The 13698-nt window shown below is 45.2% G+C and overlaps 1 protein-coding gene across 1 annotated transcript; it reads left to right on the plus strand.

Moving 5' to 3' along the window:
• OTUD6A (OTU deubiquitinase 6A) lies at positions 10577-12299 on the plus strand. The gene has a single exon (NM_207320.3). It carries the CDS (start codon positions 10645-10647, stop codon positions 11509-11511), a length of 867 nt encoding a protein of 288 aa, NP_997203.1. The 5' UTR covers positions 10577-10644; the 3' UTR covers positions 11512-12299.
• Positions 12300-13698: the final 1399 nt, after the last annotated feature.

Here is a 13698-nt window from a genome sequence, read left to right on the forward strand (position 1 = left end):
GTAAGCTGAGATCATGCCACTGCACTCCAGCCTGGGCAACAGAGCAAGACTCTGTCTCAAACAAACAAAAAAAGAAGAAATTTTACAAATATGATTTTTTTCATGCACATACATGTGCACATGTGGTCTTTGCCTGTGAGTATATATGTACAAAGGGAAATACGTATCTAGTTGTCAACACATATTTATATATGCACATTAGTAGGTGGCACCTCCAAGTCTGTGTGTGATGGGAGATATGCGAGTGTGAAAGATACCAAGTCCAGCCAGGTGTGTCCTATGGGCCAAATACATGGAAGGGTGGAAGACTGGAAGGGTGGAAGACTGGAAGGGTGTCTTAACACAACATCTAATTATTATGAGGACATAATATATGCCAGGCACTCTTCTGGGCAGCAAAACAAACTAAAAAAAAATCATGCTTTTGTGAAGTTTATATTCTGGTGGAGGAAGACAAATGATAGAAATTAATTAATTAACTAATTCTATAGTGCATTCTAAGGTGATAAAACCTACGGGGAAAAAACATTTGAGCAGAGTAAGAAGAACGCAGAGTGCTGGGAGGTGGGAAGGGATCAGGCAGGGAGAGCAGGCTTTACAATTTTAAAAGGAGTGATCAGGGAAGGCCACGCTGAGAAGGTGGCATTTGAGCAAAGGCTTGAAGGAGATGAGGAAGCAAGCAGTGTGGCAATTTGGATTGAGAATGTTCTAGGCAATAGAAACAGTAAGGGCACACAATCCCTGGAATAAGGTGTCCCTGGCAGGTCACGAGGAGCAGCAAGAAGGCTTGAATCAAGTGAATGAGAAGAACTGAGTAGGTGAGGGCAGAGAGCAGAGAGCCTGGCAAAGACCTTCTACTCTGACCGAAATGGAGAGCCCCTGTAGGGCTTTGAGCAGAGAAGAGCCAGAATGACTTAAGTTGCTAAAGGGTAGGGAAGAAGGAGGAGACCTTTGAGGGGCTATGACAATAATCCCCTGTGAGAGATAACAGTGCCTCACACCAGGCTGGGTGGCAGTGGAGATGGAGAGAAGTAGTTGGATTCTCCGTGAACACAGAATTCCACAAAAGACCGTTTGGCAGAAGGGTTGGAGTTGGGGGTGAGGCAGAGGAAGAACATTCTGTATGGCCCTGTGGGAAGGATCTGCACTTCCCTGCCAAGGAGAAGCCACCTCAGCACAGCTGGGCTTGGGCTGTGGGCCAAGTGCATGGAGTCCCAGGACACTTCCAGGGGCCAGCACCCAAGCAGCGAGTGAAGACCGCAGCAGCCTGAAAAGAGAGGAAGAGCTGCCTACCAAAGAAGAAAGCCTGGGGCTGAAAGGCCACTTCACTCCCTCCACTGAGACACTCCTGAGACAGGCCTCATTCGTATCAAGCCTGGCCTTGCGGAACTGTGTTGTCCCCACCTCTTCACACATCTGTCCCCTGCCCCTGATGCCTCACTCTCCCGTCTTGGTCTGGGAGCTCTCAGGGGCAGGAATTGGGTGGTTCTGGGTCTGACTGTTCTCACGTGCCCAGCCCCTAACACAGGCCACACAGTAGCCACTCACTGACAATTGTTATGAAGATGCCTGAGTGGATGGAGGCCTGGCCCGTATGGCACTGGGCAAGTCTCTGAGGCTTGGTTTCCTCACTTCTAAATAGGAGATAACTAGTGGTCACTCAGACATGTGAGAATCCAGAGAAGTAACAGATGGCCGATCACTTTGTGAACCGTGAAATGGTGTCCAAACATAGGTTGCCACCATTGCTGCCATTGAGAGAAGGGGTGGGAAGGATACAGTGGGGCACTGAGAAGTGAAGGCCCAGAGCTAAACTGAATTTGTCCCAGAATGGGCTTCCCTCCAACAGCGTCGCTGTGGAGAAAGAATGGCAGAAATTCTGGAGCAGAAGCCATGGCAGTGTGAACGTTTTGGACATTTTGGAAGCCCTGCCTTCTCGTCCACAGAAAGAAGGCCGTGTACCTAGCTGATGCATCTGCATGCATCCCCTCATCCTAATACCAAACAGAGAAGTGGTCAAGATTGTGTGGGTGCTTCCAGTCCTCAGTCTTATCCCCCTCCACCATCTCTCCACTCTATCCTTACAACATGCCTGGACTTTCTGAGGCTCACAGATGGTCAGAGCTGGAAAGGTTCTTGGAGTTTTCCATTAATAATAATTCCAAGCAACTCAGGGGAAGACTCTCCATAGCTTTCATTGAGCCCCCTGCCAGTGAAATATTTCTTCATGCTCTCAGACCCAGGCTCAAACCCCACTGGTCCTACTCTCTAGGCTCCTGGAAACAGATGAAAAATAAAGCCAGTCATTCTTCCTTTACATAGCAGTTTTTACTCTGCCCAGGTAGAGTTGTCGGATAAAATAACAGGATGCCAGTTAAATTGGAATTTCAGATAAACCATGAACAATGTTTGAGTGTAATATTTGGGACATACTTACACTAAAACATTATTGCATGGGACATACTTCTACTCAAATATTATTTGTTGTCCATCTGAAACTCAAATTTAACCAGGTTCTGTACTTTTATTTGCTAAATCTGGCAACCCTAGGATCAGACCAGGATCATGTGGTCAAAGCAGTTGGCACACCCTGGCAGCCACAGCCAGGCCTTGTCTGGCACATCCAGATAGCAGACCCCATTCAGTGGCTCACGAAGTCTGAATGTCACCCCCAGTTTCTCAGCTGCCCCAGAAATCAGGCTAGCCTCCATCCCCTGCACTTAACGGCTTACTCAGATTCTTCCAGCAGAGTCCCCACTGTGCTGAGGGATATTTCCTGCATGCCCGGCACCCACTGCCAGCCCACCCATCTCTTCTGAAGGGAGGTGGCCTGCTGGTCAGCGATTTTATGTATTCTGGCTCAAGTTCCAGTTCTCGCTTTCTCTCATTTAGCAAACTAAGAATGATCAGGGGATGAGAGCCTGCCTAAGAAACCAAAGCAGGACATTAGTGATGGAAGGCAAAAAAAAAATCAAGCATGATAGTTTGAAAGTGCCAGAGTGGGCCTCTTCTGACTCAGAGGATTGGAGATGGTCACTGTCCTCTGCTCTGGTGGGTAACATGTACCTTTCCTGTTTCCAAAGGACTCCTGGGATTGGCAGCTTTCACATGGCCACTTTTTCCCAAACATTGACATTCACCTCCAACCTCATGCCACTGGCGACAGTAACAAGTCTCAAACTCTCCCAGGAATGCTTATATAATCCTTCAGCAGATGTGGAAAGGGAACAGAAGAAGCTTCTGTGTGTACATGGACCATTGCTGAGGAGGGACAGAGGGAGAAAAGAGGCTAGAACGCTAATCAAGAGCAAGACTAGGAATCTCTCTTCCAAAGGTCAGCTTCAATTTTGTATGTAGTTCTGTAGTTGCTTCTTTTTTTTTTTTTTTTTTTTTTGAGACGGAATCTCTCTCTGTCACCCAGGCTGGAGTGCAGTGGCGCGATCTCGGCTCACTGCAACCTCCGCCTCCCGGGTTCACGCCATTCTCCTGCCTCAGCCTCCGGAGTAGCTGGGACTACAGGTGCCCCCCACCACACCCGGCCAATTTTTTGTATTTTTAGTAGAGACGGGGTTTCACCATGTTAGCCAGGATGGTCTCAATCTCCTGACCTTGTGATCCGCCCGCCTCGGCCTCCCAAATGTAGTTGTTTCTTTTTAATCTGTCTTCTCCTACTTGGCTGTATGCTCCTTGAGATTAGGAGTCTCTATTTTGTTCATTGTTACATCCTAAGTGCCTAGAACAGTGCCTGGAACATTGCAGGGCTGATAAATGGTGGCTGAATGACTGATTGAATGAATGAGCAAAGGGGGTTGGCGTAGGAGGAGGATCAGCGTAGGAGGAGGGTCAGGAACAAGGTTAAAGCAGCACAGAAACCAGGCCTGAACAGAGCAGGAAGCTCATGTGGCCCCAGAGCCTTAAAGGACAGTGGGAGGATGAAGAAAGAGTAAATCCACAGTGATCTACTCAAAAGCCTTCAGTGAGGTTGCCTCCTTGTTGCCCAGTCTGCTGTATCGCCTGACTCACACTCCAACACCTACAATCCGGTGATATAATCCTTCATAGGCAAGTTCTAGGAAGACAGTTATTCTCTAGATGCCCAGGAACTGTAAGCCCAGGACAAGATGGGATGATTTCCTCACATCCTCTCTCTTTAGACTGAAATAACACCATGTGCTATTGTGTCTAGTTAGGAGAACTTGGTTATATTGTCTTATGTTTGACAATTTCTCAACAGCCCTTGAGCTCACTGGAAACTTCCCTCTGATGTAGGCTAGAAACTCAATCCAGACAGACACTTAGGGACCATTAAGCTCTGAACTAATGAGGGTCCTGATTACCATGGAAACTGCCATCTCTGGTTACCTGTGAAGGGGAGAAGAAATAAGGGTAAAGGGTGGATGTGGGGATACAGAATGGGGAACAGGAGTTGGGAGGTAGGGACTGAGGTATGGTAGAGTGAAGAAACTGCAATTTATTCCTGGCCTCTGGTGCCAGGCACTGAGCACTGCATTTCACATGCATTTGATCATCACACCCCCCGGGAAGTTACGCACTCATTCTCTTCTCCACCCACCTCGCTGACTGGCAAAGCATAACCATTAATTAACAAGATGGCCTATCACCATTCCTAGTGCTTATTATTGGAAGAGGTAACCTTGAACTCCCTGCCATCTAATCCTCATCAAAAGCCACTTGTGAGAAATGATATTCATAGAGAGATGCTTGAAGAGCAGGCAGCTCATCTATTGCTGGAGACACGTGACTTTAAAAGGCAAGGCCTGTGCTTCGGAAGTTGGATCATAATCTCCAGATGGGAAAGTGTGTGTTGGGGGAGTAGGCTTCAGTTCAGAGCTGGAAAAGGCACATTCGATATTATAATAACTATGGTTTCCTTAACACAAACTACAGACAGGAAAGCTCAACATTTGCAAAGCTGGTTTTTCTGCACTTCAGGCCACAAAAACAAACCCACACAATGGGATTTGACATTCAGAGGGACCTGTCATTCCTTCTGCAGAATCTGAAAAAGCTATCTTGATTGCAGCAAACAAGCAGACTCTACATGACCATTGCTATCACACTATCAAAGTCCAAAAGATGTCTCTTTCAGGATCAGCATAATGGTTTTCTAAAATTATAATTGCTTTGATTCATTTTAAGTCACAGTATTTAATTTCTTTGAAACATGCAAATGCCAGTAAGGGAGAGTGTGAAATAGTTCCATTTATTTCAAATAAGATAGGAGAAGATAGAATAGACATCCTTTGCCCTATTCCTCTTGCTATTACAACTAAAAACTCTGGATATCATATACAAAACAAACACAAGACTCCAAAAAGTGGAAAGAAGGCAGACCACATAGGGTCTTCAGGACAGGAGGAATGACATGAATTTTCTTTTTGATTCATATATCTTAGACTTGAAGTTAAAGAAGCCAACAACCAAAAATACACTAACAGCCATAGACAAAAAGAGTCCCTATAAAAGCCTGTTTTCTCCAGCCAAGGGATTAGGAATGAATTAGCCTAGCAAGACAGAAAAGTTTTAGACAATAATCACTCTATGCCAGCCATAACCAGAGAAAAAAACAACTGTGGCCCCACCCCCACCAGCAAAGACTGAGTGGGGAGACTAGACTTCCAATAATGATCAAAGGATGGATATACCAAGAAGATACAAAGATCCTAAAATGTGTAGGATTTGCAACAGAGGTGCAAAATATGAAAAGCTAAGCCTGATAGAGCTGAAAGGAGAAATAGAAAAGGCTACAATTACAGTCAGAGACTTCAAAACTCCTCTCTCAACAATAAACATAAGAATTAGACAGAAAATCAGCAAGATATAAAAGAATTGAACAACATCATGAACCACTGGGATCTAAACAACATTTTTAGAGCACTCCACCCAACAGGAGCAAAACATGAATTCTTTAAAGTGCCCATGGAACATATATTAAGATAGGCCATACTCTGGGCCATAAACTAAACAAACCCTAACAAATTTAAATGAATTGAAATCATATACAAATGTGTTCTCTAACCACAAAGGAATCTGTGTTAGGCTATTCTTGCATAGCTATATATAAAGAAATACCGGCTGGGCCAGGAGCGGTAGCTCATGCCTGTAATCCCAGCACCTTGGGAGGCGGAGGCGGGTGGATTACTTGAGGTCAGGAGCTCAAGACCAGCCTGGCCAACATGGCGAAAACCTATCTCTACTAAAAATACAAAAATTAGCTGCTAGAGGCTGAGGCAGGAGAATCACTTGAAGCCAGGACGCAGAGGTTGCAGTGAGCCGAGATCACGCCATTGCACTCTAGCCTGGGTGACAGAGCGAGACTGTCTCAAAAAGAAAAAAAAAGGAAAAATACCTGAGATTGGGTAAGTTATAAACAAAAGAGAAAAGAGGTTTAATTGGCTCATGGTTCTGATGGCTGTACAGGAAGCATAGCAGCTTCTGCTTTTTAGGGAGATCTCAGGACACTTCCAATCATGGAGGAAGGAGCAAGAAAGAGATGAGGGGAGGTGCCACACACTTTTGAACAACTAGATTTCACAGGAACTCACTCACAATCTCAAGGACAGTACCAAGAGGATGGTGCTAAACCACTCATGAGAAATCTGCCCCCCATGATCCAATCACCTCCCACAGGCCCCGCCTCCAACAGAGGGTATTACAATTCAACATGAGGTTTGGGCAGGGACACAGACCCAAACCATATCAGAATCAAAGTAGAAATCATTAATAGATAACAGGAAAACCTACAAACACTTGGAAGCTAATAACTCACTTGTAAATAATCCATGGGCCAAAAAGTCTCAAGGAAAACCAAAAAGTACATTGAACTGAAGGATAATGAAAACTAAACATATCAAAACATGGGAGAACCAGTTAAAGTAGTACTGAGAAGGAAGTTTATATCACTAAGCGTATACTTTGGAAAAAGAGAAAAAGTCTGAAAGCAATTATTCAAGCTCCCACCTCAAGAACCTAGCAAAAGAAGAGCAAACTAAACCCAAAGCAAGCAGAAGGAAGAATATAATAAATAGCATAAACTAATGAAATCTAAAACAGAAAATCAATGGGGAAAATCAATAAGACAACATGCTAGTTCTTTGAAAAGATCAATAAAATTGACAAATCTTTAGCAAGACTGACAAAGAACAAAAGAGGAAACACAAATTACCAATAAAGCAGGGAATACCACTATAAATCCTCCCAACATCAAACAATAAAAATGGAATACTACAAATAATTCTGCACACATAAATTTGACTACTCAGAATAAATGGACCAATTCCTCAAAAAACACAAGCTACCAAAATTCACTCAATATGAAATATATAATTTGATTAGTCCTATTAAGGAAAACTTTTTTTTAATTTTAAAACTCCCAAGAAAGTGATCTCTTGGCCCTGATGGTTTCACTGGAGAATCCTATCAAATGTTTAAAGAAGAATTATTACTGATTTTACACAATCTCTTTCCAAAAAAATAGAAGAGGAAGGAACACTTCCCTCCTCTTCTTGTGAAGTTAGTATTTACCCTGACACTAAAACTAAACAAAACAGTACCAAAAAAGAAAACTGCAGACCAATACCTCTCATGAACATAGATTTTTTTTAATCCTTTTTTAAATTACCAAAAGAATTCCTCAACATATAAAAATAATGATAAACTATGACCAAATCAGGTTGATTTCTGAAATGCAAGACTAGCTTAATACTTAAAAATCAATCACTATAGTCTATCATATTAATAGGTTATAGAAGAAAAATCATATTGGCATATCAATACAGAAAAAACATTGACAACATTTAATACCCATTCATGTCAAAAACTCTCAGAAAAATAGGAATAGATGGGAAAGGCCTCAACTAGATAAATAACATTTACAAAATCCTACAGCTAACATCATACTTATCAGTGAAAGATGAAATTCTTTTCCTCCTAAAATCAAGATCAAAACAAGGATGTCTGCCCTTGCCACTCTTATCCAACATAGTGCTGGAAGTTCTAATCAGCACTATAAGGCAAGAAAAGGAAATAAAAGACATACTTACTGGAAAGGATGAAATAAAACTGTCCCTATTCACAGATGACATGATTGCCTACATAGAAAATTCCAAGGAATCAAGGGGGGAAAAAACCTCCTAGAAATAATTAGCTAGTTAAGCAAGGTCACAGAACACAAGATAAACAAAAAAAGTCAATTGTATTTTTATATACTAGCAATGACCATGTGAACATTGTAAATGTTCACATTATAAAAATACAATACCATTTACAATCACTCAAAAAAAGAGAAATGCTTAAGTGTAAATCTAACAAAATATGCACAGGATTTATATGCTGAAAATCATGCAGTGTCACTGAAAGAAATCAATGAAGATCTACGTAAATGGAGATACATACCCAGGTGTTCAAGGACTGGAAGACTCAACATAGTAAAGATGTCAATTCTCCCCAAATTGATATTCAGCTTGAACACGATTCCTACAAAAATCCTGGCCAGGCGCGGTGGCTCACGCCTGTAATCTCAGCATTTTGGGAGGCTGAGGTGAGAGGCTCGCTTGAGCCCAGGAGTTCGAAACCAGCCTGAGCAACATAGTGAGGCCCCGTTTCTACAAAAAGTAAAAAAAAAAAAAAAAAAAAAAAAGTTAGCTGGATATGGTGGTGTGTGTAGTCATCCCGGCACTTTGAGAGGCCAAGGCAGGGGGATCGCTTGAACTCAGGAGTTCAAGACCAGCCTGGCCAACATGGTGAAACCCTGTCTCTACTAAAAATACAAAAAGTATCCGGGTGTGGTGGTGTGCGCCTGTAGTCCCAGCTACTCAGGAGGCTGAGACATGAGACTTGCTTGAACCCAGAAGCTGGAGGCTGCAGTGAGCCGAGATCATGCCACTGCACTCCAGCCTGGGTGACAGAGCAAGACTCCGTCTCAAAAAAAAAAAGAAAAAAAAAGGAAGGAAGGAAACCAAGGAAGGAAGAAGAAAGAGAGTAAGAGAGAGAGAGAGAGGAAGAAAGAGAGTGAGAGAGAGAGAAAGAAAATAGGCAAATGAAGGGCTGAGCATGGTGTCTCACATCTGTAATCCCAGCACTTTGGAAGGCAGAGGTGGAGGACCACTTGAGCCCAGACTGGAGTGCAGTGCCGCTATCTTGGCTCACTACAACTTCTGCTTCCCAGGCTCAAGCTATCCTCCCACCTCAGCCCCCAGGAGTAGTTGGGACTACAGGCACACACCACCACACCTGGCTAATTTTTGTATTTCTAGTAGAGTTAGGGCTTCACCATGTTGCCCAGGCTGGTCTGGAACTCCTGACCTCAAGACATCCTCCCACCTTGGCCTCCCAAAGTGCTGGGATTACAGGCGTGAGCCACCGCATCTGGCAAAAAAAAAAAAAAAAAAAAAATTCCCCAAAATTAGCCAAGTATGGTGGTGCCTGTAGTCCCAGCTACTCAGGATGTTGAGGCAGGAGGATCACCTGAGCCTGAGCCCAGGAGTTTGAGGCTGCAATGAGCCATGATCACGCCACTGCATTCCACCCTCGGTGACAGAGCTAGACTCCACCCCCCCCAAAAAAAAGAGAGAGAAAATAGGCAAATGACATAAACATTTTACTGAAAAGGATATGGCATAGATGACAAATGAGCACATGAAAAAAGGAACATCATTAGCCATCAGGGAACTTCACACTTATCAAAATGGCTAAAATAAAAACTTGTGACTGGGCACAGTGGCTCATGCCAGCACTTTGGGAGGCCGAGGCGAGTAAATCACCTGAGGTCAGGAGTTCCAAGACCAGCCTGGCCAACACGGCGAAACCTCGTCTCTACTAAAAATACAAAAATTAGCCGGGCGTGGTGGCAGGCGCCTGTAGTCCCGGCTACCCGGGAGGCTGAGGCAGGAGAATCGCTTGGACCTGGGAGGCAGAGGTTGCAGTGAGCTGAGATTGCACCATTGCACTCCAGCCTGGGCGACAGAGCGAGACTCCGTTCCCCGCGCCCCCCCCTCAAAAAAAGAGTAAACTGAAAGGACTGTGTTTGCAGGAATGTAAGGAAATGTCCTTGTTCTGATGCACAAGTTAATGGTTCCCTGGTGAAGGGACCTGAAAGACTGGAGAAAAACGCACTGCTTCCTCAACAGTAGGGGCAATGCCAAGTCCAGGGTTAGAGCACATTCAGCGGTGTAGTATCTGTCATGTGGCTGTCAGGCATGGCTACTGCCTGCATTGTGTGCAGACTTGGAAATGAAGTCGGCTCTCAATCAGCGAAAGACTCTACAGGCCCAACTGCCACACACATTGCAGGAAGGCCATATTTGAATCCCGCCAAAAACCTTTGCTGTGGGGTCCAATGGGCTCATACTTCCGGTCTCCCAACAGCCAATCCTAGCACTGGGCATTTGCGGGTGGCCCAGCAAGTGGCCTAGCACTTGCGGGGGCGTGGCCATGGAGACACAGTGACCAAAGGCAGAGAAGAATGCGAATGGGGGAGGGGAAGCGGAGGCTGAGGTGAGCCTAGAGCGGCGGTTAGAGCCGGTGAGGTGAAAGAGAGCGACCGTTAGGACAGGCTGAGGACTTCTGGTCTGTTCGGTACTTGAACTGCCAGCAAATTTCAACTCCCGCTTGCCATTCAACATCATGGATGATCCGAAGAGTGAACAGCAGCGCATACTGCGCCGCCACCAACGCGAGAGGCAGGAGCTGCAGGCCCAGATCCGGAGCTTAAAAAACTCGGTCCCCAAGACCGACAAGACGAAAAGAAAGCAGTTGCTCCAAGACGTGGCCCGCATGGAGGCCGAGATGGCTCAGAAGCACCGGCAGGAGCTGGAGAAGTTCCAAGACGACAGTAGCATTGAATCTGTCGTCGAAGACCTGGCCAAGATGAATCTGGAAAACCGGCCTCCCCGCTCCTCCAAAGCCCACAGAAAGAGAGAAAGAATGGAGTCCGAGGAGAGGGAGCGCCAGGAGAGCATCTTCCAGGCTGAGATGTCGGAGCACCTGGCCGGCTTCAAGCGCGAGGAGGAGGAGAAGCTCGCCGCCATCCTGGGAGCCAGGGGTCTGGAGATGAAAGCGATCCCGGCCGACGGCCACTGCATGTACCGCGCCATCCAAGACCAGCTGGTGTTCAGCGTGTCTGTGGAGATGCTGCGCTGCCGCACCGCCAGCTACATGAAGAAGCACGTCGACGAGTTCCTGCCCTTCTTCAGCAACCCCGAGACCAGCGACTCCTTCGGCTACGACGACTTCATGATCTACTGCGACAACATCGTGCGCACCACGGCATGGGGAGGCCAGCTGGAGCTGAGGGCCCTGTCGCACGTCCTGAAGACCCCCATCGAGGTGATCCAGGCCGACTCGCCCACCTTGATCATCGGGGAGGAGTACGTCAAGAAGCCGATCATCCTGGTCTACCTGCGCTATGCCTACAGCCTCGGCGAGCACTACAACTCCGTGACACCGCTCGAGGCCGGCGCCGCCGGGGGCGTGCTCCCGCGTCTCCTGTAGGCCCCAAGGCGCTGAGCAGCCCCGGGAAACTGTCGCCGTCGCCGCATCTCCTCAGTAGGCTCAGTTTATTTTCCCCTTTTGCTTTTCTCTGTTTTTCTTTTCCTTCCTTTTAATCAAAACTACCCGCCCCCGCCCCGCCCCCGCTTTCCTAACCTTGCTGCTTTCACAGGGTGGGAAACGAAATTCGAGGGAAATTCCCCGGAAATATGAGGGAAATCTCTGCATTGCACCACCAGAGGGGCATAAATTTGAAAGTTCTAACCTCTTCTTGCCCTTAAGGGTCTTTTACCTCCCTCACCAACTAAGATTTGGTCATGTTGCGTATAACTTCACCACAAAAATGGAAATATTGGCCGGGCGCGGTGGCTCACGCCTGTAATCCCAGCACTTTGGGAGGCCGAGGCGGGCGGATCACGAGGTCAGGAGTTCGAGACCAGCCTGGCCAACATGGTGAAACCCCACCTCTACAAAAAATACAAAAATTAGCCGGGCGTGGTGGCAGGCACCTGTAGTCCCAGATACTCGGGAGGCTAAGGCAGGAGAATCGCTTGACGGGAAGCGGAGGTTGCAGTGAGCCGAGATCGTGCCTTTGCACTCCAGCGTGGAAGACAGTGAGACTCCGTCTCAAAAAAATGAAAAATTAGCCAGGCAGGTTGGCGGGGGCCTGTAATCCTAGCTACTTGGGGTGCTGAGGCAGGAGAATCAACTGAACCCGGGAGGCGGAGGCTGCAGTGGGCCGGGATCGTACTACTGCACTCCAGCATGGAAGACAGCGAGACTCCGTCTCCAAAAAAAAAAAAAGAAAAAAAGGAAATGTTAAGTTTCATGTGTTCTGGGAAAAATAAATCTAGTAGACTAGCTCGGGGAGTCTTCAGGTTTTCCTATGAATGTCTTGGATTACTTAGACAAAATTGGAGTTTATGTGATCAAAATGCCTTGTGAAGGCCTTTTGCTGAGTTTTGGGGGGAAAGATTGCCATGGTTTGCTATTTACTTAAGCTAGACTACTCAGGAGATGTCTCAAGTTATGAACAAGAGATCCGCTAGTACTTTGTTTTGTTTTCTTTTCATCAAAACTTGTGTGGTTCCTAATTAATTTTAGTTTCTCCCATGTTTGCTAATTCTAAATAACAGCATTTGTTAAAACATGTAAGGTAAATCTGTTAAATAGATAAAGTAAATTTAGATAAACTGATAGGCTAGATAAGGTTTACTCTAAGATGTGAAAGATCTGAACTTAATTTCCTTTACTAAAGGTAGGAAGAGATAGGACTTTATTCAAATAGTTGATACGTTTCATTATCTTTACAACTGGTATAAAGAAAAAAGAGACACATTGATAGGTAATTTACTTACTCTAAGGGGTGAAGATCTGAATCGAGTAAGTTTCCTTTATTCTTAGAGATATAAAGGTGTATGAATTTATTCAAGTACTTGATTGACCTTGTTATATCATCTGGTATGAAGTGTGAAAGATATGAATGTAACAACTTTCCTTATTTCTTAGAGATACAGAAATATCTAAAAAGATTCTTTAAAATATTAAAGTTTTATTCTATTTTGTTACATCAAAAGTGAACAATATACTTTTGTTATTTGAGACTTGTTAATATCCTTGAATTTTCCAAAAGAATATAAAATGAAATGATTTACAGTCAACAACTTATGAAAATTTTAATCTTTACTTTCTGTAATTCAGTGAGATTAATTTTGGAAATTCTTTCTACATTCCAAATGCTCTAAGATAAAATATATATGTTTTTGAAAGTTTTTAAACATGTAGTTTGTTCAAAAATAAAAACCATTTAAAAAATACCTGCTTCTCTGTTTTTGTGTAGCTAACTTCATATAGAGTTTATATCCCAGGATCTACTTAAGCAAAGGAATCCTGGAGGGTTAGGGAGCATAGGCCTGTTGCGGGTGGCGGGGTGGTGGTTGCTGACTGGGGACAGGGGCAAAGACTGCTGAAGGGCTCTAGAAATGGGAAAGGTGCTCTACTTCAGTGGGCTGCATAGGGTCAGGGAAGGGGGTGACAAGCTAAAAGAAGAGGCCTGGCTAGGGTAGGGGACCTTCATGGACAAAGAGGCCCAGCTGGGTAGCGGGGGCACAGGCTAGGAAAGAAGTCCTGGCTGAGGGAGGATGCCTGCAAAGGGTCCAGGCTGGAGGCTGGGGCATGGACTGGTGAAGG

This window comes from Homo sapiens, chromosome X, assembly GCF_000001405.40.
Source record: "Homo sapiens chromosome X, GRCh38.p14 Primary Assembly".
Lineage (NCBI taxonomy): Eukaryota > Metazoa > Chordata > Mammalia > Primates > Hominidae > Homo > Homo sapiens.